General features: G+C 41.4%; 1 protein-coding gene and 1 pseudogene across 2 annotated transcripts in view; one reads left to right on the top strand and one right to left on the bottom strand.

The window, feature by feature from the left end:
* The window catches only part of MAGT1 (magnesium transporter 1), a 69,822-nt gene that overhangs the window by 41,770 nt on the left and 4,254 nt on the right, over positions 1–23,798 (top strand). For both annotated transcript variants that reach the window (NM_001367916.1, NM_032121.5), the window contains exons 8-9: positions 12,479–12,553; positions 22,904–22,994. In NM_001367916.1, the coding sequence (NP_001354845.1) occupies positions 12,479–12,553; positions 22,904–22,994 (166 nt within the window). The remainder of the gene's footprint in view (positions 1–12,478; positions 12,554–22,903; positions 22,995–23,798) is intronic.
* On the bottom strand, positions 16,404–16,510 carry RNU6-854P (RNA, U6 small nuclear 854, pseudogene; annotated as a pseudogene).

Below are 23,798 nucleotides of genomic sequence, written 5' to 3'. Positions count from 1 at the left end.
TCACAATATCCTTTGAAAATCATTACTGTATCATCCTCTCCAGCCCAATAAACCAAAGACTACTAGGGACAAATCTGTAGTCTGATAGGGCCAGGTTTATTGGCTCATTAATATGAGGAATACTGTACATTAGAAGAACCATGGAACATCTTAACAAAGAAAAGATAGAGTTGTAATAGGATTTGGGAGAATAGTGGAGTTTATGTGAAATTTAAACAAAGCATTGTTTTGATAGGCTAAAAGCAGTGTAAGGCTGTGTAAAGGGGTCAACATCAGGTCTGAACTGTCAATCAGACCCAGGGTTCTGTTTGCTTGGAAACTACAAAGTTAACATAAATGTGGGATTTTTGTCTTCAAAAACTTCTTCTTTGAAGCTCTATACCTTGGTTGTAAATTGAGGCTACTTAGAAATTATACGTGTAAATTGAGTGACTTAGATCTGCCAAGCAAGAATATTTCATTTTTACTCATATAATTGCAAGAAGTCTATTTAAAGACCAATATTCCTCAGTAAGAAAACAGTAATTACTCAAAGATGGGGATATTTTGACATTTTACAGCTGAAGTGTGTGCTAGGGAAAAATACTTCCTGTGGACTTTGCAGCTGCTTTATGTTTGTGTTGTTCCATTCTCTTGAATGACAAGGAATATTTTTACTTTCTTGGCCCAAGCTAATTTTTATTTTCTTATATCTAAAAGTGGATGCCTCTGTAAGCTGCAAAGACAGGTAAAAGCGATGTCAGATAAGTAAGAATCTAAATTTCATAATATGACTAAACATAGTTTACCCACCTGAGTACATAAGCACTGACTCTGGAACAAATCAACAAGGTGAACAAATGTAATGTTCCTGGAATTGTGCTTCTCAGCCAGGGTGTCCTGACATTGATATACAAGAATCAGCTGGGCATGGTGGCTCACACCTGTAATCCTAGCACTTTTGGAGGCTGTGATGGGTAGATTGCTTGAGCCCAGGAGTTTGAGACCAGCCTGGGCAACATGGCAAAACCCCATCTCTACAAAAAAATACACACAAAAAATTAGCCAAGTATGGTGATGCATGCCTGTGGTCCCAGCTACCAGGGAGGCTGAGGTGGGAGGATCAATTGAGCCCAGGAGGTCAAGGCAACAGTGAGCTGATATCACACCACTGCACTCCAGCCTGGACGACACAGTGAGACCCTGTCTCTAATAAAAAAGGGAAAAAAAACGAAACTTAAATATATTTTTTTCTGATTGCAAAAGGAATATAAATTAAAGAAAATTTAGAATACAAATAAGTATAAAGAAAAAAATTCAAAACCACTGAAAATTCTATCTTTAGTAAATGTTTGTGTATGTCTTTCCCAGTTTTATTATACTATGTTGATGATTAGAGAGATTTTAAGGAAAGCATTCTAAAAAAATATTAAGCTTTTGATTTTAACTGATTTTAATTGAAGGATATTTGGGAAAATGTTCTTATGCACTATGGAAAATATACTTACTGCTTCACATCCAGCCCAAACCTGGGAGAATTAATCTATTCAACCATGAAATGGTGGGCTGAAAGATTAACAATATACACCTAGTCCATATGAGAAGAAAGAAGACTGAGGCCAGGCGTGGTGGCTCATGCCTGTAATCCCAGCACTTTGGGAGGCCAAGGCGGGTAGATCACCTGAGATCAGGAGTTCGAGACCAGCCTGGCCAACATGGTGAAACCCCATCTCTACTAAAAATACAAAAAAAAATTAGCTGAGCGTGGTGGCGGGTGCCTGTAATCCCTGCTACTCAGGAGGCTGAGGCAGGAGAATCTCTTGAACCCAGGAGGCAGGGGTTGCAGTGAGCAGAGATCGTGTGATTACTCTCCAGCGTGGGCAATTAGAGCAAAACTCCATCTCAGGGGGCGGGCGGCGGGGCGGGGGAAGACTGAAAGAAAAATATTACTCAAACTTTATTTTTTTTAATCCTAAAATTTTAGTTGAAAATGTTCGTTTATGGGCTGGGTGTGGTGGCTCACACCTGTAATCCCAGCACTCTGGGAGGCAGAGGCAGGTGGATCATTTGAGGTCAGGAGTTCGCGGCCAGCCTGGCCAACATGGGGAAAGTCTGTCTCTACCAAAAATACAAAACTTAGCCAGACGGCCAGGCGTGCTGCCTCACACCTGTAATCCCAGCACTTTGGGAGGCTGAGGCAGGCGGATCACCTGAGATCAGGAGTTCGAGACCAGCCCGGCCAATATGGTGAAACCCTGTCTCTACTAAAAATACAAAAATTAGCCAGGCATGGTGGTGCACGCCTGTAATCCCAGCTACTGGGGAGGCTGAGGCCGGAGAATTGCTTGAACCTGGGAGGCAGAGGTTGCAGTGAGCCGAGATGGTACCACTGGACTCCATCCTGGGCAACAGAGTGAGACTCTGTCTCAAAAAAAAAACAGCCAGGCATGGTGACGGGCGCCTGTAATCCCAGCTACTCTGGAGGCTGAGGCAGGAGAATCGCTTGAACCCAGGAGGTAGAGGTTGCAGTGAGCCAAGATGGTGCCACTGCACTCCAGCCTGGATGACAGGGTGAGACTCTTGTCTCAAAAGAAAAAAAAAGAAAGACAATGTTCATTTATGGTTTGATGGATTCAGCCTGGCCAACATAGCGAAACCTCATCTCAACAAGAAATACAAAAATTAGCCAGAAACGGTAGTGTGCACCTATAATTCCAACTACTCAGGAGGCTGAGGCATGAGAATTGCTTGAACCCAGGAGGTGGAGGTTGCAGTAAGCCGAGACTGCCACTGCACTCCAGCCTGGGCAACAGAGCGAGACTCTGTCTCAAAGAAAAAAAAAAAAAAAGAACAGAAAAGAAAAGTATGGTTTGATGGATTAACAAATTATTATACCTTAGAAAATTTTCAGTATCTTGAATCAGTTCTTCTCACTAGTACTTTGAAATTGAATAATGGAGCAAAAGAGCAATTAAAATTGTAAAGTATTAATTAGTTGATTTGGGGTTTGTTGGTCTTTTAGCTTTGTCTTAAACTTTTAAATATATAAGAAGTTTAAGAAATTAGAAAATTGTCATTTTACCTCTGCTTTAAGACTGAGCATCAGCCTAAGGTTTAGTATACATTTGGAACGGATTACAATCCTGTTGGGATATAGAATGTCTTGTGTTTGGTTATTAGGATGCAAAAAGTGAACTTTTTTCAGAGTCAGACATGTATACAGATTATAAGACAGTGACTTAAGTGCTGTGTACCAGAAATAGTGAGAAAATGAATAATTTTGTCAGAGGTAAGGAATATTAGAAAAGGCCTAACCACTCCCCACCCCCCCCCCCTTTTTTTTTTGAGTGGAGTCTCGCTCTGTCACCCAGACTGGAGTGCAGTGGCACCATCTTGGTTCACTGCAACCTCCACCTCCTGGGTTCAAGCGATCCTCCTGCCTCAGCCTCCTGAGTAGCTGGAATTACAAGTGTGCACCACCTCACCTGGCTAATTTCTTTATTTTTAGTAGAGACAGGGTTTCACCAGGTTGGCCAGGCTGGTCTTGAACTCCTGACCTCAGGTGATCCACCCATCTCAGCCTCCCAAAGTGCTAGGATTTCAGGCGTGAGCCACCTCACCCGGCCCCCACTTTCTTTTAAAGTAAATATGAAACCTCAAGACCGGTAACATTGTTTACAGCTTCCAGGTTGATAATAATTAATAGACTGAGGCCACCTCTAAGTAGTAGTTATGATTTTGGAAAATATTCACATATTTATTATTAGTTTAATGTACAGTTTATTGCATGATTAATAAAGCAGACTATATAATCAGTTGCCTGATCTAAGCAACCTTTAAAATTACATTTTAAGTGTTGCAGTTATGCAGAAAAGTTTACAAAAGTTTACAGTTTGATGAATTTCCTTTTTTTTTTTTTTTTTTGGTTTTTTGTTTTTTGTTTTTGAGATGGAGTCTTGCTCTGTTGCCCAGGCTAGAGTTCAATGGTGTGATCCCAGCTCATTACAACCTCCACCTCCCAGGTTCAGGCGATTCTCTTGCTTCAGCCTCTGGAGTAGCTGGAATTACAGGCACCTGCCACCATGCCTGGCTAAGTTTTTTTGATATTTTTAGTAGAGATGGGGTTTCATCATGTTGGCGAGGCTGGTTTCGAACTCCTGAGCTCAACTGATCCGCCTGCCTCGGCCTCCCAAAGTGTAAGGATTACAGGCGTGATCCACGGTGCCCAGTCCAGTTTGATGAATTTTCACAGAATTAACACACTTATGTAACCAGAACTCACATCAATAAATAAAATTTTACCCACATCTCAGAGCATTTTCCATCATCATTCCTCCTGATTGCCACCTTCCCACCCAGAAATAACTGCTATCCTGACTGCTAACACTATGGGTTTATTTTACCTATTTTTTTTTAACTTACATAAATGGAATCCTACAGGGCTGGGTGCGGTGGCTCATGCCTATAATACCAGCACTTTGGGAGGCTGAGGCAGGCAGATCACCTGAGGCCAGGAGTTCGAGACCAGCCTGGCCAACATGACAAAACCCTTTCTCTACTAAAAAAAGTACATAAATTAACTGGGTGTGGTGCTGCGTGCCTGTGGTCCCAGCTACTTGGGAGGCTGAGGCAGGAGGGTGGCTTGAGCCCAGGAGGTAGAGGTTGCAGTGAGCTGAGATCACACCACTGTGCTCCAGCCTGGCTGATAGAGCCAGACTTTGTCTCAAAATAAAAAAAAAAAAAAAGAAAACACAATAAATGGAATCCCAGAATAAATATATATGGATTTTTTTTATGTTTATTTTTTTAGAGATGAAATCTTGTGTTGCCCAGGCTTGAGTACAGTGGGGTCACCATAGCTCACTGTAACCTCGACCTCCCAGAATCAAGCAGTCCTCCCACGTCAGCCTCCTGAGTAGCTGGGACTATAGGTGAGCACTACCACACCCAGCTAATTTTTGTATTTTTTTCTAGAGATGGAGTCTCGCCCTGTCGTCCAGGCTGGTCTCAATCTCCTGGGCTCAAACAATCCTCGTACCTTGGCCTCCTGAATTTTTAAAATAAAGTAGCAGTCTGGAAAATGTTCACCTATAACCTGAAACCCTAATAGTATAAACTACATTTACTTTTGCATATTATCTTGCATTCATTTCTATATGAATGTTTCATGGTAAGGGTGTTCATTTTTTATACTTGTAGACATGTTGTGTATGGAGTTTGCTATCTTAATATATTATAAGCATTTTCTATGTTGTATGGCCTTTATATTTATAAAAATACATAAAAATTACAAAGAAATCTGAAAATACGAAGAAAAAGAAAAGTAGTCAATATTTTTAATGTTTATATAATGGATATATCATATCCATGTTGCCCAGGCTGGTCTCGAACTCCTGACCTTAGGTGATCCACCCGTCTTGGCCACAAGCGTGAGCCACCACGCCTGGCCTTCTACTAGCTTTTAATAGCCTAGTTGTTGTATGTTATGGAATAATGTCTCCTCTATTTCTGCTCAGTTCTCCTGGAGTAACATTTAATCAGGACTGTGTAATTTATGTATTTCATTGTTTGTATTCCTCACTAGAGTGTAATCTTCTTCATGGTAGGATCTTTATTTTGTTCAACTTTTTATTTCCAACAGTTTATAGTGCCTGCCATATAGTAGGCAGTGTTAGTAAAAATTTAAAGATCAGTAAATGAAATAAAACAGTATACATAGAACTGCATCATAGCTCTTGACAGCTAAGAAGAGTACACAAAAGACCTTGAGGTATTTAGCAAGAAGGAAAGCTCATTCAAAGCAAAAGCACATAAACCATGATAAAAAGACAAGCTTTCCCCAGAGCAAGTCTCAATCATTAATCAGAGAGTACCCAGAAATCAAAGCCTGTAGAAATGATCAATCTTTGGCCGGGCATGGTGGCTCATGCCTGTAACCCCAGCACTTTGAGAGGCTGAGGTGAGTGAATCACCTGAGATCAGGAGTTCGAGACCAGCCTAGCCAACATGGGTAAACCCCGTCTCTACTCAAAATACAAAAATTAGCCAGGCGTGGTGGCATGTGCCTGTAATCCCAGCTTACTCAGGAGACGGAGGCAGGAGAATTTCTTGAACCCGGGAGGCAGAGGTTGCAGTGAGTCAAGATGGCTCCACTGCACTCCAGCCTGAGTGGCAGAGCAAAACTCCATCTCAAAAAAAAAAAAAAAAAAAGAAAGAAATGATCACATTAACAAAAGACCTTTGTGCAGCCAAGATGGCCTAATAGGAACAGCTCCAGTCTACAGCTCCCAGCGTGAGCAACACAGAAGACGGGTGATTTCTGCATTTCCAACTGAGGTACTGGGTTCATCTCACTGGGGATTGTCAGACAGTGGGTGCAGGACAGTGGATGCAGCGCACTGAGCGTGAACCGAAGCAGGGCGAGGCATCGCCCCACCCGGGAAGCGCAAGGGGTCAGGGAATTCCCTTTCCTAGCCAAGGAAAGGGGTGACAGATGGCACCTGGAAAATCGGGTCACTCCCACCCTAATACTGTGCTTTTCTGATGGTCTTAGCAAACAGCACACCAGGAGATTATATCCCACACCTGGCTTGGAGGGTCCTACGCCCACGGAGCCTCGCTCATTGCTAGCACAGCAGTCTGAGATCAAACTGCAGGGCGGCAGCGAGGCTGGGGGAGGGGCACCCACCATTGCCGAGGCTTGAGTAGGTAAGCAAAGTGGCCGGGAAGCTCGAACTGGGTGGAGCCCACCGCAGCTCAAGGAGGCCTGCTTGCCTCTGTAGACTCCAGGTCTGGGAGCAGGGCATAGCCAAACAAAAGGCAGCAGAAACCTCTGCAGACTTAAATGTCCCTGTCTGACAGCTTTGAAGAGAGTAGTGGTTCTCCCAGCATGCAGCTTGAGATCTGAGAACGGACAGACTGCCTCCTTAAGTGGGTCCCTGACCCCCAAGTAGCCTAACTGGGAGGCATCCCCCAGTAGGGACAGACTGACACCTCACACAGCCGGGTACTCCTCTGAAACAAAACTTCCAGAGGAACAATCAGGCAGCAACATTTGCTGTTCACCAATATCTGCTGTTCTGCAACCTCCACTGTTGATACCCAGGCCAACAGGGTCTGGAGGGAACCTCCAGCAAACTCCAACAGACCTGCAGCTGAGGGTGCTGACTGTTAGAAGGAAAACTAACAAACAGAAAGGACATCCATACCAAAACCTCATCTGTATGTCACCATCATCAAAGACCAAAGGTAGATAAAACCACAAAGATGGGGAAAAAACAGAAGAGAAAAACTGAAAATTCTAAAAATCAGAGTGCCTCTCCTCCTCCAAAGGAATGCAGCTCCTCACCAGCAAAGAAACAAACCTGGACAGAGAATGACTTTGATGAATTGAGAGAAGAAGGCTTCAGATGATCAAACTTCTCCGAGCTAAAGGAGGAAGTTCGAACCCATGGCAAAGAAGTTAAAAACCTTGAAAAAAGGTTAGACGAATGGCTAACTAGAATAACCAATGCAAAGAAGTCCTTAAAGGACCTGATGGAGCTGAAAACCACGGCACGAGAGCTACGTGATGAATGCAGAAGCCTCAGTAGCCGATTCGATCAGCTGGAAGAAAGGGTATCAGTGATGGAAGATCAAATGAATGAAATGAAGCAAGAAGAGAAGTTTAGAGAAAAAAGAATAAAAAGAAACGAACAAAGCCTCCAAGAAATATGGGACTATGTGAAAAGACCAAATCTACGTCTGATTGGTGTACCTGAAAGTGACAAAGAGAATGGAACCAAGTTGGAAAACACTGCAGGATATTATCCAGGAGAACTTCCCCAATCTAGCAAGGCAGGCGAACATTCAAATTCAGGAGATACAGAGAACGCCACAAAGATATTCCTCGAGAAGAGCAACTCCAAGACATAATTGTCAGATTCACCAAAGTTGAAATGAAGGAAAAAATGTTAAGGGCAGCCAGAGAGAAAGGCCGGGTTACCCACAAAGGGAAGCCCATCAGACTAACAGCTGATCTCTCAGCAGAAACTCTACAAGCCAGAAGAGAGTGGGGGCCAAATTCAACATTCTTAAAGAAAAGAATTTTCAACCCAGAATTTCATATCCAGCCAAACTAAGCTTCATAAGTTAAGGAGAAATAAAATCCTTTACAGACAAGCAAATGCTGAGAGATTTTGTCACCACCAGGCCTGCCCGACAAGAGCTCCTGAAGGAAGCGCTAAACATGGAAAGGAACAACCGGCACCAGCCACTGCAAAAACATGCCAAATTGTAAAGACCATTGATGCTAGGAAGAAACTGCATCAACTAACGAGCAAAATAACCAGCTAACATAATGACAGGATCAAATTCACACATAACAATATTAACCTTAAATGTAAGTGGGCTAAATGCTCCAATTAAAAGACACAGACTGGCAAATTGGATAAAGAATCAAGACCCATCAGTGTGCTGTATTCAGGAGACCCATCTCACGTGCAGAGACACACATAGGCTCAAAATAAAGGGATGGAGGAAGATCTACCAAGCAAATGGAAAACAAAGGCAGGGGTTGCAATCCTAGTCTCTGATAAAACAGACTTTAAACCAAAAAAGATCAAAAGAGACAAAGAAGGCCATTATATAATGGTAAAGGGATCAATTCAACAAGAAGAGCTAACTATCCTAAATATATATGCACCCAATACAGGAGCACCCAGATTCATAAAGCGAGTCCTTAGAGACATACAAAGAGACTTAGACTCCCACACAATAATAATGGGAGACTTTAACACCCCACTGTCAACATTAGACAGATCCACGAGACAGAAGGTTAACAAGGATATCCAGGAATTGAACTCAGCTCTGCACCAAGCGGACCTAATAGACATCTACAGAACTCTCCACCCCAAATCAACAGAATATACATTCTTTGCAGCACCACACAACACCTATTCCAAAATTGACCACATAGTTGGAAGTAAAGCACTCCTCAGCAAAAGTAAAAGAACAGAAATTATAACAAACTGTCTCTCAGACCACGGTGCAATCAAACTAGAACTCAGGATTAAGAAACTCACTCAGAACCACTCAACTACATGGAAACTGAACAGCCTGCTCCTGAATGACTACTGGGTACATAACAAAATGAAGGCAGAAATAAAGATGTTCTTTGAAACCGAGAACAAAGACACAACATACCAGAATCTCTGGGACACATTTAAACCAGTGTGTAGAGGGAAATTTATAGCACTAAATGCCCACAAGAGAAAGCAGGAAAGATCTAAAATTGACACCCTAACATCACAATTAAAAGAAATAGAGAAGCAAGAGCAAACACATTCAAAAGCTAGCAGAAGGCAAGAAATAACTAAGATCAGATCAGAACTGAAGGAAATAGACACAAAAAACCCTTCAAAAAAATCAGTGAATCCTGGAGCTGGTTTTTGAAAAGATCAACAAAATTGATAGACCGCTAGCAAGACTAATAAAGAAGAAAAGAGAGAAGAATCAAATAGATGCAATAAAAAATGATAAAGGGGATATCATCACCGATCCCACAGAAATACAAACTACCATCAGAGAACACTATAAACACCTCTACACAAATAAACTAGAAAATCTAGAAGAAATTGATAAATTCCTGGACACATACACCCTCTCATGTCTAAACCAGGAAGAAGTTGAATCTCTGAATAGACCAATAACAGGCTCTGAAATTGAGGCAATAATTAATAGCTTACCAACCAAAAAAAAGTCCAGGACCAGATGGATTCACAGCCAAATTCTACCAGAGGTACAAGGAGGAGCTGGTACCATTCCTTCTGAAACTATTCCAATCAATAGAAAAAGAGGGAATCCTCCTTGACTCATTTTATGAGGCCAGCATCATCCTGATACCAAAGCCTGGCAGACACACAACAAAAAAAGAGAATTTTAGACCAAATATTCCTGATGAACATTGATGCAAAAATCCTCAATAAAATACTGGCAAAAAAATACTGGGGGAGGGATAGCATTAGGAGATATACCTAATGTTAAATGACGAGTTAATGGGTGCAGCACAGCAACATGGGACATGTATACATGTGTAACAAACCTGCATGATGTGCACATGTACCCTAAAACTTAAAGTATAATAAATAAAAATTTTAAAAAACGAAATGATCAATCTTTGCACAAACCTGCAGATAAAGAACTCAGAAAAAATTGCTGGAGAAGAGACTTGGCTGAACAACTGAAAACATGATGAATGGGCATCATCCCTAACAAGAGGCTATTGAAGAAAGAATGCAAGATGGGGCACAGGCACATTGGTTCACGCCTGTAATTCCAGCACTTTGGGAGGCCCAGGCTGGAGAATTGCTTGAGTCCAGGAGTTTGAGACCAGCCTGGGCAACATAGTGAGACCCCGTTTCTACAAAAAAATCAACAAAACGAACGTGGCGTGGTATGCACCTGTAGTCCTAGATACTCAGGAGGCTGAGGCAGGAGGATCTCTTGAGCCTGGGAGGTGGAGGTTGCAGTGAGTTGTGATTATGCCATTGCACTCCACCCTGGGTGACAGAGTGAGACCCTGTCTCAAATAAATAAATTAAATTAAAAAATTTAAAAAAGAATGCAAGATGGTAATGAAGGGATGACAAGTCAAATTTTAGAGCCAATTATAAATTCAGGCCTCATCTAAAGGGCACATATTTTTCCCTTTCCGCTTAATGATACCCACATGCGGTAGCATACAACATGTATGTACATATGTATAATTGATTTGGGAGTGTTTTACTGCTGTTAGTATTCACTAAACTGCAGGGTGAATCTGTCTCTCTTTTCTACTAGAACACATTCTATTTGCTTTAAAATTTGAACTTGCTTATTTTAATATTCAACCATGCCATCTGTTACCTATTTGTATGGGTTGTTGTATTTTGTATTTATGCAGCTCCTATTAAGCTGAATAAAAGTGTGGTCATGGCACATGTGGGATTTTTCTTTTTCTTTTTCTTTTTTTTTTGAGATGGAGTCTTGTTCTGTCACCCAGGCTGGAGTGCAGTAGTGCCATCTCGGCTCACTGCAACCTCTGCCTCCCGGGTTCAAGTGATTATCCTGCCTCAGCCTCCCAAGTAGCTGCGATTACAGGCGCCTGCCACCACGCCCGGCTAATTTTTGTATTTTTAGTAGAAACGGGTTTTTGCCATGTTGGCCAGGCTGGTCTTGAACTCCTGACTTAAGGTGATCCGCCTACCTCTGCCTCTCAAAGTGCTGGGAGTACAGGCGTGAGCCACCACGCACGGCCAGGATTTTTCTTTTTTATTAGAATAGGATAAAATTAGATAGGTTAGTAGTAATTTGTGCTTTAAAGGCTAATTATTGATGTACTTTTGGCATCTTGGCATGGGAAAAATTTAAAAAATAAAGTATTATTGAAAATATGGAGAATTTTTTTTTTGACACAGTCTAGTTCTATCATGCAGGCTAGAGTGCAGTGGTATGATCACGGCTAACTGCAGCCTCAACCTTCCAGGCTCAAGTGATCCTCCTACTTCAGCCTCCCAAGTAGCTAGGACTACAGGTATGTGCCACCAGCCTGGCCAATTTTTTGTATTTTTTGGTAGAAACAGGGTCTCACCATGTTGCCCAGGCTGGTTTTGAACTCCCAGACTTAAGCAATCGGCCCGCCTCGGCCTCCCAAACTGTTAGGATTACAGGTGTGAACCGCTAAACTAGGCCAGGAGAGATTTTTCAGAAATTAATTTTCAAATAAAAAGTAGTTACTGTTCTCCCTAAATGATATATATTTCAAATGTGTTCTTTAGGGAGGTGGGGTGAAATATTCAAAATGGCTATTTAGGGCTGGGCGTGGTCATTCACACCTATAATCCCAGCACTTTGGGAGGCCGAGGCAGGTGGATTGCTTGAGGTCAAGAGTTCAAGACCAGCGTGTGCAACGTGGCAAAACCCCATCTCTACAAAAAAAAAAAAAAAAAAATTACAGAATTTAACTGGGCGTGGTGGTGAGCACCTGTAGTTGCAGCTACTCAGGAGGCTGAGGTGGGAGGGTGGCTTGAGCCTGGGAGGTGGAGGTTGTAGTGAGCTGAGATTGCGTCACTGCACTCCAGCCTGGGTGACAGAGCCAGACCCTGTCTCAAAAAAAAAAAAAAGCCATTTAATATTTTTAAATGTGTTTGAGGTCAGGGCAATAACTGAATGTCCAGACAGGTTATTTCAAAGTACAATTTCGGGAAAACTCATATTTCATCTGTAAGTTATGGTGGGACATTTGTTTAAAATATCAATTTTTCTTTGCACAAATGAAGTAATCTTCCAATTTTAATTTTTTGTATCTTCATAGTAAATAATTGTCATGCCGTATAGATACAAGATTCCTTATTTTGGTTTTTTATAATGAAGAGTTGAAGGTTTATATATTCATTTTAATTTTCTTCATGAGAAACTGGAAATAGTAAAATGGTATGTCTTTTTTGTCTGTGCGAATTTCTCCTTAAACAATTTTTCTTAGATGGTGGAGTTACCTTAGGAATGGTGCTTTTATGTGAAGCTGCTACCTCTGACATGGATATTGGAAAGCGAAAGAGTAAGTCACCTTACTCAAAATGTAACAGTGCTGCCTGTACTATGGAAAAAGAGTGATCTCTTAATCACTTTTCCTCTTACTTATAGGATAAGTAGGTTATTTTACCCCTTTACTATTTTTTTCTTTAAATGTCATATCTGTTATTAAACTCCTTTACTATTTTAAAATTAATATATGCTCATTATAGAAAATGTAAAAAAACAGGAGCATGAAACATTCCACCACTGAAAAACTAATTATTTTTAAATTGTAATATATTTCTTTCCACTTATAAAAACCTTAAAAACTGTATATATAAAATTTTGACACTTCACACCCCCTTTTTAAACTGGAGTTAAATAACTAATAACTTTTTCTATATACATAATTTTAAACTTATACTCTGTTATTGTTTGTTTTCTTTAAGATAGGGTCTCACTCTGTCACTCAGGCTGGAGTGCAGTAGCATAATCATAGCTCACTGCAACCTCCGCCCCTAGGCTCAAGCTGTCCTCACACCTCAACTTCCCTAGTAGCTGGGACTACAGGCATGTGCCACCATGCCCAGCTTATATTTTGTACTTTTTGTAGAGATGGGGTTTTGTCACTTTGCCCAGGCTGGCCTCAAACCCCTGGACTCAAGTGATCTTCCCACCTCAGCCTCCCAAAGTGTTGGGATTACAGGCGTGAGCTGCCGTGCCTGGCTGACTTATACTCTATATTATAATTTAACTATTCCGATTTTTTTCAATGTTTAGTTTTTTCCTAATTTTAACTATAATTATTCTTCAGTAACTATCATGATACATTAAGCATCATTTTTTTTTTTTGAGACAGAGTTTTGCTCTTACTACCCAGGCTGGAGTGCAGTGGTGCAATCTCGGCTCACTGCATCCTCTGCCTCCCAGGTTCAAGTGATTCTCCTGCCTCAGCCTCCTGAGTAGCTGGGATTACAGGCGCCCACCACCACGCCCGGCTAGTTTTTTTGTTTTTTGGGGTTTTTTTTTTCTTTTTTTTTTTTGTATTTTTAGTAGAGACGGGGTTTCACCATGTTGGCCAGGCTGGTCTTGAACTCCTGACCTCAGGTGATCCACTTGCCTCAGCCTCCTGAAGTGCTAGGATTACAGGCATGAGCCACCACGCCCAGCCATCATTCTTATTTAATATTGTTTCCTTAAGGTAGATTCCTAGAAGAAGAATAACTGTGTGGTCCTCTGTCTGAGTATTTTCAATTCTCTTGATGTTTTAATCATTACAGATTATTTTGGCAAGTTAAAATAATTTAGATTTCTACTACTGGTATTTAAGAATGTTTGTTTTGGCCGGGCGCAGTGGCTTATGCCAGTAATCCTGGCACTTTGGGAGACCGAGGCGGGTGGATCACTTGAGGTCAGGAGTTCGAGGCCATCAAGCCTGATGAACATGATGAAACCCTGTCTCTACTAAAAGTACAAAAATTTGGCCAGACGCGGTGGCTCACGCCTGTAATCCCAGCACTTTGGGAGGCCAAGGCAGGTGGATCACAAGGTCAGGAGTTTGAGACCAGCCTGGCCAACGTGGTGAAACCCCCGTCTCTACTAAAAATACAAAAATTAGCTGGGCATGGTGGCGTGCGTGTGTAATCTCAGCTACTTAGGCAGCTGAGGCAGGAGAATTGCTTGAACCCAGGAGGTAGAGGTTGCAGCGAGCCGAGATCACGCCACTGCACTCCAGCCTGGGTGACAAAGCGAGACTCCATCTCAAAAAAAAAAAAAAATTAGCCAGGCGTTGTGGCGCATGCCTGTTATCCCAGCTAGTTGAGAGGCTGAGGCAGGAGAATCGCTTGAACCTGGGAGGCAGAGGTTGCAGTGAGCCGAGATCGTGCCATTGCATTCCAGCCTGGGCAACAAGAGTGAAACTTCATCTTAAAGAAAAAAAAAAAAAGAATGTTTGTTTCATTGGTTTTGTTGTTGTTGTTGTTGTTAAGACAGAGTCTTGCTCTGTCGCCCAGGCTGGAGTGCGGTGGCGCGATCTCAGCTCACTGCAAGCTCTGCCTCCCAGGTTCACCCCATTCTCCTGCCTCAGTCTCCCGAGTAGCTAGGACTACAGGCACCCGCCACCATGCCTGGCTAATTTTTTTGTATTTTTAGTAGAGATGAGGTTTCACTGTGTTAGCCAGGATGGTCTTGATCTCCTGACGTCGTGATCCGCCCGCCTCGGCCTCCCAAAGTGCTGGGGTTACAGACATGAACCACTGTGCCCAGCCATTTCATTGTAATTTTATCAGCATTAATCTCATTAATATGTATCTGTTTTATAGATACATATATATTTGCCAATCAGATAAGGTGGAAATGTATTATTTTGTACTCCTTTTATTTTTATAAGGTCAAATATTTTCCTAAATGTTTACTAGTCATTTGTGTTTATGTTTTTCCTTCTATAAATTGTCCTTTTGTCTTTTGCCATTTATCTGTTAGAGTCTTAGCCCTTTTATTTGGTTTGCAAGGAATTTTTTTTTTTTTTTTTCGAGACGGAGTCTTGCTCTGTCTCCCAGACTGGAGTGCAGTGGTGTGATCTTGGCTTACTGCAACCTCCGCCTCCTGGGTTTAAGCAATTCTCCTGCCTCAGCCTCCCATGTAGCTGGGATTACAGGTGCACGTCACCACGCCCAGCTAATTTTTGTATTTTTAGTAGAGACGGGATTTCACCATGTTGGCCAGGCTGGTCTCGAACTCCTGACCTCATGATGTGCCTGCCTCAGCCTCCTAAAGTTCTGGGATTATAGGCGTGAGCCACCGTGCTCAGCTGGACATTTTTTTTTTTTTTTTAAGGCCAGGCCTTACTCTGTTGCCCAGGCTGGAGTGCAGTGCCACAATAATGACTCACTGTAGCCTCGAACTCCTGGGCTCCAGCAGTCCTACTGCCTCAGCTTCCCAGGTAGCTATGACCACAGGCTCATGCCACCACTCCCAGTTAATTTAATTTTATTTTTTGTAGAGATGGGGTCTCACTTTATTGCCGAGGTTGGTCTGTATCTCCTGTGCTCAAGCAACCTTTCCCACTGTGGCCTCCCAAAGTGCTAAGATTACAGGCGTGAGCCACCATGCCCAGCCTGCATGAACTTTTTATATATTAGAATATTCACACATTGTTATCTGTTGCAGAGAGAATCTAACAATGTAATTTGGTTTTACTTTCATGAAATAAGTCAAGATTTTCCTTTTATGATTAAAAAGTTAAATGTCAACCAGGCGTGGTGACTCACACCTGTAAATCCCAACACTTGGGAAGCCAAGGCAGGTGGATCACCTGAGGTCAGGAGTTCGAGACTAGCCTGGCCAACATGGCGAAACCCCGTCTCTAAAAAAGCAAAAATTAGCCAGGCATGGTGTCACGTGCCTGTAATCCCAGCTACTTGGGAGTTTGAGGCATGAGAATCACTTGAACCCAGGAGGCGGAAGTTGCAGTGAGCCGAGATCGCGCTACTGCACTCCAGCCTGGGCGACGGAGTGAGACTTCATCTCAAAATAAATAAATAAATAAAAAAGTTAAATGTCATAAAAATTACCCTACCTAAATAAAGTCTAATATTTACTTTAACTTCTAGAAAAAAGATGAAGATACTGAACTTAAAATTTGAGAAATACTTGTTTTGCTCAATTAAAATAGATTTTTTTTAGCTGGATGTGGTACAACGCACTTGTAGTCCCAGCTACTTGTGAGGCTGGGACAGGAGGATGGCTTGAGGCCAGGAGTTAGAGGCTGCAGTGAGCTATGATCACACCACTGCACTTCAGTCTGGGCAGCAGAGCGAGACTCAATCTCTAAAAAAATGAATTTTTACGTGTTAGAAAAATAATTAATGTATCAGTTTTTAAAATTTTTTTAAAAAAATATGGAACACTTCACGAATTTGCATGTCATCCTTGCACAGGGGCCATGCTAATCTTCTCTGTATGATTCCAGTTTTAGTATATATGCTGCCAAAGTAAGCATTTTATAGTTTTTAATCCAGTCAGTATATGTCCTTTCACTGCCTGACTTTTTACGAGATCAGGCGCGTTCAGGGTGCTATGGCTGTAGACTTTGCCTGACTGTTTAAAAATTGCCTATTTCAGTGTTTATTCTTGGGAAAAGGCCATCAAAGTACATTACTGACATGAACTTAAATTGTTAAACATTTTGGCAACATATACTGAAATAGTCACAATTTGATCTCCTAAGTTTCTTACCTAACAAAATGATCACAAATTAATAGACGTTTCTTTAGCATGTTCTGGGAACTGCTCTAAGCACTTTTAGATGTATGAAAAGAGGAGGATACAAATATATACAGAGTGATGCTGTATATACGTATGTGCACATTTTCTTTTTCTTTTTTTTAAATCTGAGACAGGGTCTCACTCTGTCGCCCAGGCTGGAGTGCTGTGGAGAGATCATAACTCACTGCAGCCTTGACCTCCCTGGCTCAGGTGATCCTCCCACCTCAGCCTTCCTAGTAGGTGGGACTACAGGCATGCACTGCCACACCTGGGTAATTTTTTGTAGAGATGGGGCCTCGCTACATTGTCCAGGCTGGTCTTGAACTCCTGGGCTCAAGCAATCCTTCTGCCTTGGCCTCCCCAAATGCTGTGATTTACAGGCGTGAGCCATCACACGCAGTCTATGAGTACATTTTCTTAGAGAATAAAAGGCTAACTTGTCTACACTCAGCATGTGTTAATACTCAGGAAAAGTATTTTATTTTTAATTTTTGTGGGTACATAGTAGGTGTATATATTTATGGGATACATGAGATGTTTTGATATATAGGCATGCAATGTGTAATAGTCACATCACGGAGACTGCAGTATCCATCCTTCAAGTATTTACCCTTTGTGTCATAAACAATCCAATTATACTTTTTTAGTTATTTTAAAATGTACAATTAAATTATTATTGACTATAGTTATCCTGTTGTGCTATCAAATAGTAGGTCTTATTTATTCTATTTTTTTTGGTACCCATTAGCCATCCGTACTTCCCCCGGCATTCCCCAACTACCGTTCCCAGCCTCTGGTAACCATCCTTCTACTCTCTGTGTCCATGAGTTCAATTGTTTTCATTTTTTGATCCCACAAATAAGTGAGAACATATGATTTTTTTTTCTGTACCTGAATTGTTTCACTTAATGACTTCCAAGGCTGGGCATGGTGGCTCACTCCTGTAATCCCAGCACTTTGGGAGACCAAGTGGGGCAGATTATTTGAGGTCAGAAAGTTCTAGACTACCCTGGCCAACGTGGTAAAACCCCGTATCTACTAAAATACAAAAATTAGCTGGGCGTAGTGGTGCACACCTGTAATCCCAGCTACTCAGGAGGCTGAGGCAGGAGAATTGTTTGAACCTGGAAGGCAGAGGTTGAAGTGAGCCAAGCTGGCGCCACTGCACTCCAGCCTGGGTGACAGAGCGAGACTCCATCTCAACAATAATAATAATGATTTCCAGTTCCATGTTGTTGCAAGTGACAGGATCTTATTTTTTTAATGACTGAATAGTACTCCATTGTATATATGTACCACGTTTTCTTTATCCATTCATCTGTTGATGGACATTTAGGTTGCTTCCAAATGTTGGCTATTGGGAACAGTGCTACAACAAACATGGGAGTACAGATATCTCTTCGGTATACTGATTTATTTTTCTGTGGGTGTATACCCAAGCAGTGGGATTGCTGGATCATATGGTGGTTCAATTTTTAGTTTTTTGAGGAACCTCCAAACTGTTCTTCTTAGTGGTTATACTAACTTACATTCCCCCCAACAGTGTACAACAGTGTACAAGGGTTCCCTTTTTTCCACATCCTCGCCAGCATTTATTATTGCTTGTCTTTTGGATATAAGCCATTTTAGCTGGGGTGAGATGATAGATATCTCATTGCAATTTTTATTTGCATTTCTCTGATGATCATTGATGTTGAGTAGTTTTTTTATGCCTACTTGCCATTTGTATGTCTTCTTTTGAGAAACGTCTATTGAAATATTTTCTTTTTTTGCGGTGGCTCACGCCTGTAATCCCAGCACTTTGGGAGGCCGAGGCAGGTGGATCATGAGGTCAGGAGATCGAGACCATCCTGGCTAACACAGTGAAACCCCATCTCTACTGAAAAAAAATACAAAAAAATTAGCTGGGCATGGTGGCAGGCACCTGTAGTCCCAGCTACTTGGGAGGCTGAGGCAGGAGAATGGCGTGAACCCGGGAGGTGGAGCTTGCAGTGAGCTGAGATCACACCACTGCACTCCAGCCTGGGCGACAGAGCAAGACTCCGTCTCAAAAAAAAAAAAAAAAGATTTTATGTTTTTTCGATCAGATCATTAGTTTTTTTCCTGTAGAGTTGTTTGAGCTCCTTTTATATTCTGGTTATTAACCCCTTGTCACATGGGTACTGTGCAAATATTTTCTCCCATTCTGTGGATTGACTCCTCACTTTGTTGATTGTATCCTTTGCTCTGCAGAAGCTTTTAAACTTGATGTGATCTCATTTGTCTATTTTTGCTTTGGTTGCCTGTGCTTCTGGGGTATTACTCAAGAAATTTTTGCCCAGACTAATGTCCTGGAGAGTTTCCCCATTGTTTTCTTATAGTTGTTTCATATTAATAGTTTGCAGTCTTAGGCCAGGCACAGTGACTCACACCTGTAATCCCAATGCTTTGGGAGGCCAAGAAGGGCAGATCACTTGAGGCCAGGAGTTCGAGACCAGCCTGGCCAACATGGTGAAACCCTGTCTCTACTAAAAATACAAAAATTAGCCAGGTGTGGTGGTGTGTGCCTGTAGTCCCAGCTACTTGGGAGGCTGAGGCAGGAGGATTGCTTGGCCCAGGAAGTGGAGGTTGCAGTGAGCCAAGATCATGCCACTGCACTCCAGCCTGAGCAACAGAGCAAGACTCTTGTCTTTTATTTATGTGTGTGTGTGTATATATATATGCATATATATACACACATGTATATATATATATGCATATATATACATATATGCATATATACACACATGTATATATATGCATATATATACATATATGCATATATATACACACATGTATATATATGCATATATATACATATATGCATATATATATATATGGTGTACAGTCTTAGATTTAAGTCTTTAATCCACTTTGACTTGATTTTCCTATATGGCAAGAGATAGGGGTCTAGTTTTGTTCTGCCTATGGATATCCAGTTCTCCTGGCACCTTTTATTGAAGAGACTGTGTTTTCTCCAGTGGATGTTCTTGGCACCTTTGTTGAAAATGAGTTCACTGTAGGTGTATGGGTTTGTTTCTGAGTTCTGTCTTCTGTCCCACTGGTCTGTATGTCTGTTTTTACACCAGTACTATGCTGTTTTGGTTACTATAACTCTATAGTATAATTTGAAGTCAAGTAATATGATTCCTCCAGTTTTGTTCTTTTTGCTTAGGATAGCTTTGACTATCATTGGTCTTTTGTGATTTCATATAAATTTTGTTTTTTCTATTTCTGTGAAGTTGTCATTGGTATTTTAATAAGGATTGCATTGAATCTATAGATTGCTTTAGATAGTATGGACATTTTAACAACATCCATTCTTCCAATCCATGAACGTGGAACATCTTTCCATTTTTCGATGTCCTCTTCAGTTTCTTTCAGCAGTGTTTTATAGTTTTCATCATAGAGTTCTTTCACTTCTTTGGTTAAGTTAACCCTTTTCCCATTTGCCCTGAGAATACTCACTGGCAGTGCTTGTGGCTGCAGTGTTTACGCTGAGATAACTCTGCCACAAAATATCGTGCTTTAATTATTGTTTTCACATCCACTCTAGTATATCAACTTTGGAAACAAAATTGATATGTTAGATATCACTGGGTTCAAGTGATCCATTACCACTACTGAAAACAGAGTGCTGTAAATAGAATAATATACTAATATACTAGACATCAGTCCATTTTTATTTCCATTATAGTGGTATTTCCATTTACAAAATATAGTAATTCTTGATCACTGAAAATGTCAAATCCTAGAAAATGTAGCATTCCACGTGTAATGTTTACACCATTCTCGAACAGTTGTTGGCCAAAGATTCATTTGATGAATTCAATTTTTCTGAAATAGACTATTGTGATGATTCAGACGATTCTGATGTTAGTTCTGTTTAGTAATAACTCCAACAACAGTTTTTGTTTTATTTTCACATTGAAAATCAGTCAGATTTACTTCAGCCTCAAACAGCGTGATTATATAAAATTAAATGAGCATTGGCAGCAAGCTGCACTTCTTTTTTGTAAATTAGAAAAGAATTAAAGAGAAATATTGTTTAACATTTACACATTAAGCCCTAGTCATATTGTGTAACAATTAGAAAAGGCAAAAGAATTGTTCCATAAGTAAAACAAAACTGAAAGTTGATTTTCTTTTCTTTTCTTTTTTTTTTTTTTTTTTTTTTTTTTTGAGACAGAGGCTTGCTTTTTCGCCTAGGCTGGAGTGCAGTGGCGCGATCTTGGTTCACTGCAAGCTTTGCCAAGCGATTATCCTGCCTCAGCCTCCCGAGTAGCTGGGATTACAGGTGCCTGCCGCCACGCCTGGCTAATTTTTTTTGTAGTTTTTAGTAGAGATGGGGCTTCATCATCTTGGCCAGGCTGGTCTTGAACTCCTGACCTCGTGATCCACCCGCCTTGGCCTCCCAGAGTGCTGGGGTTACAGGCATGAGCCACAGCGCCCGGCCGAAAATTGATTTTCTTATCAGTCACTAAGTATGTTACCCTAGAACAAACTTGTCCAGTCTGTGGGCCACATGCGGCCCAACACAAACTTGTCAACTTCCTTAAAACATCATGAGGGTTTTTTTCTGCAATTTTTTTTTTTTTCAGCTTATCAGCTATCATTAGTGTTAGTGTATTTTATTTGTGGCCCAGGACAGCTCTTCTTCCAGTACGGCCCTGGGAAGCCAAAAGATTGGACACCCCTGCCCTAGAGCTTCCTTTGCTGTTGGACACATGCTTCCCTACATCCCTATCTCTATAGTTCTTAGCCATTTTTAGTCCGGGGATTGAAAGAGCTTCACATCATGACAATCCATACTTGCGCATTTGGGGATTAGTATTTGTAGTTCACTTTAATAACTGCTGTGCTAATGTAGGACATGACATGTGGGATTAGTGGAGAGAGCTATGAATCTAGGGCTAGGGATCAGATTTTTTTTCTCATTCAAATAAGAAATCCATGTTTATTGAGTTACATATATAAGGCTGTGTAGTTATCTGTGCATGAATAAAGTACTTTCAAGTGAGGCTATCACAATGAAGTCATCAGATGTCTAAGTTAATGTTTATCAATACTACAAGGCCACTTTTAGGGGTTTTAAAGTTCAATAAATAAGTAAGCCGGGCACCGTGGCTCATGCCTGTAATCCCAGCTCTTTGGGAGGCTGAAGCGGAAGATCACTTGAGCCCAGGAGATCAACACCAGCCTGGGCAATGTAGTGAGACACCGTCTTCTCAAAAAAATTAAAAAATTAGCCAGGCATGGTGGCACACATCTGTAGTCCCAGCTACTCAAGAGGCTGTAGTGGGAGGATTGCTTGAGCCCAGGAGGTTGAGACTGCAGTGAGCTGTGATTGTGCCACTGCACTTCAGCCTGGGCAACAGAGCAAGACCCTGACTCAAAAAAAAAAAAAAAAGAAAACCAAAAAACCAAATGGGTGATTTTCTTGTCGATTGTAACAGTGTTTCTAACAGTAAACCTTTCAGTGTGATGACTTTAAAGGAATTCATTATTTCATACATTTGAATTGCATAATTATGTAAAGGAGTTACTCTATTACATTGTAATGGAGCAAATTAAAGGGGAAGGCAGATTCCTGAAGATTAAGAAATAGGGATGAAAATTGTTGAAAAGTTGAGATTTATCAATAATGTATACCCCTTCCTTTTCACTCTCTGAAAGTATAGACTGCCAGGCCGGGCATGGTGGCTCAAGCCTGTAATCCCAGCACTTTGGGAGGCTGAGGCAGGCGGATCATGAGGTCAGGAGATCGAGACCATCCTGGCCAACAAGGTGAAACCCCGTCTCTACTAAAAATACAAAAAATTAGCTGGGCGCAGTGGCGGGCGCCTGTAGTCCCAGCTACCCTGGAGGCTGAGGTAGGAGAATGGCATGAACCCAGGAGGCGGAGCTTGCAGTGAGCCGAGATCGCGCCGCTGCACTCCGGCCTGGGCGAAAGAGCGAGACTCCGTCTCAAAAATAAAATAAAATAAAATAAAATAAAATAAAATAAAATAAAATAAAATAAAATAAAATAAAAAAAGAAAGTATAGACTGCCATGGTTATTTATTATACTCAACCTGCTCATTTTACTCTCCTTTTATTTTTCTGCAGTAATGTGTGTGGCTGGTATTGGACTTGTTGTATTATTCTTCAGTTGGATGCTCTCTATTTTTAGATCTAAATATCATGGCTACCCATACAGGTATGATTCTTATTTTTTGTTTATACAGTGATTACCAATACCTGGAATGATTAGAGTTGATATTGCTTTATAATATCCTTCTTTTTGCTTTGCTTCCAAACTATTTTAGCTTATAAAGGAAAGATATAGGCTTTATTTTTATTTATTCATCTATTTATTTATTATTTATTTATTTATTTATTTATTTTTGAGATGGAGTTTTGCTCTTGTTGCCCAGACTGGAGTGCAATGGCGCAATCTCGGCTCACTGCAACCTCTGCCTCCCGGGTTCAAGCGATTCTCCTGCCTCAGCCTCCCAAGTAGTTGCGATTACAGGCGTGTGCCAGCATGCCCGGCTAATTTTGTATTTTTAGTAGAAACGGGGTTTCACCATGTTGATCAGGTCTTGGACTCCTGACCTCAAGTGATCCACCCGCCTCATCCTCCCAAAGTGCTGGGATTATAGGCATGAGCCACTGAGCCCGGCCTATTCATTTATTTTCAGAGACAGGGTCTCACTCTGTCACTCAGGCTGAAGTGTAATGGCGTGTTCATAGCTCATTGTAACCTTGAACTCCTGAGCTCAAGCCATCATTTCACCTCAGCTTCCCAAGAGGCTAGGACTACAGCTGCACATGACCACACCCAGCTAATATTTTTATTTTTTGTAAAGACAGGGTCTTGCTATGTTACCCAGGCTGGTCTTGAACTTCTGGCATCAAGCGAGTCTCCTGCTCAGCCTCCCAGAGGGCTGGGATTATAGGCATTAGCCAGCCACCATGCCCAAACAGCTGTAATTCAGATATGTTCCCATATAAAAATTAA

Source organism: Homo sapiens, chromosome X, assembly GCF_000001405.40.
Source record: "Homo sapiens chromosome X, GRCh38.p14 Primary Assembly".
Taxonomy (NCBI): domain Eukaryota; kingdom Metazoa; phylum Chordata; class Mammalia; order Primates; family Hominidae; genus Homo; species Homo sapiens.
This window is presented reverse-complemented; position numbering and strand designations above follow the sequence as displayed.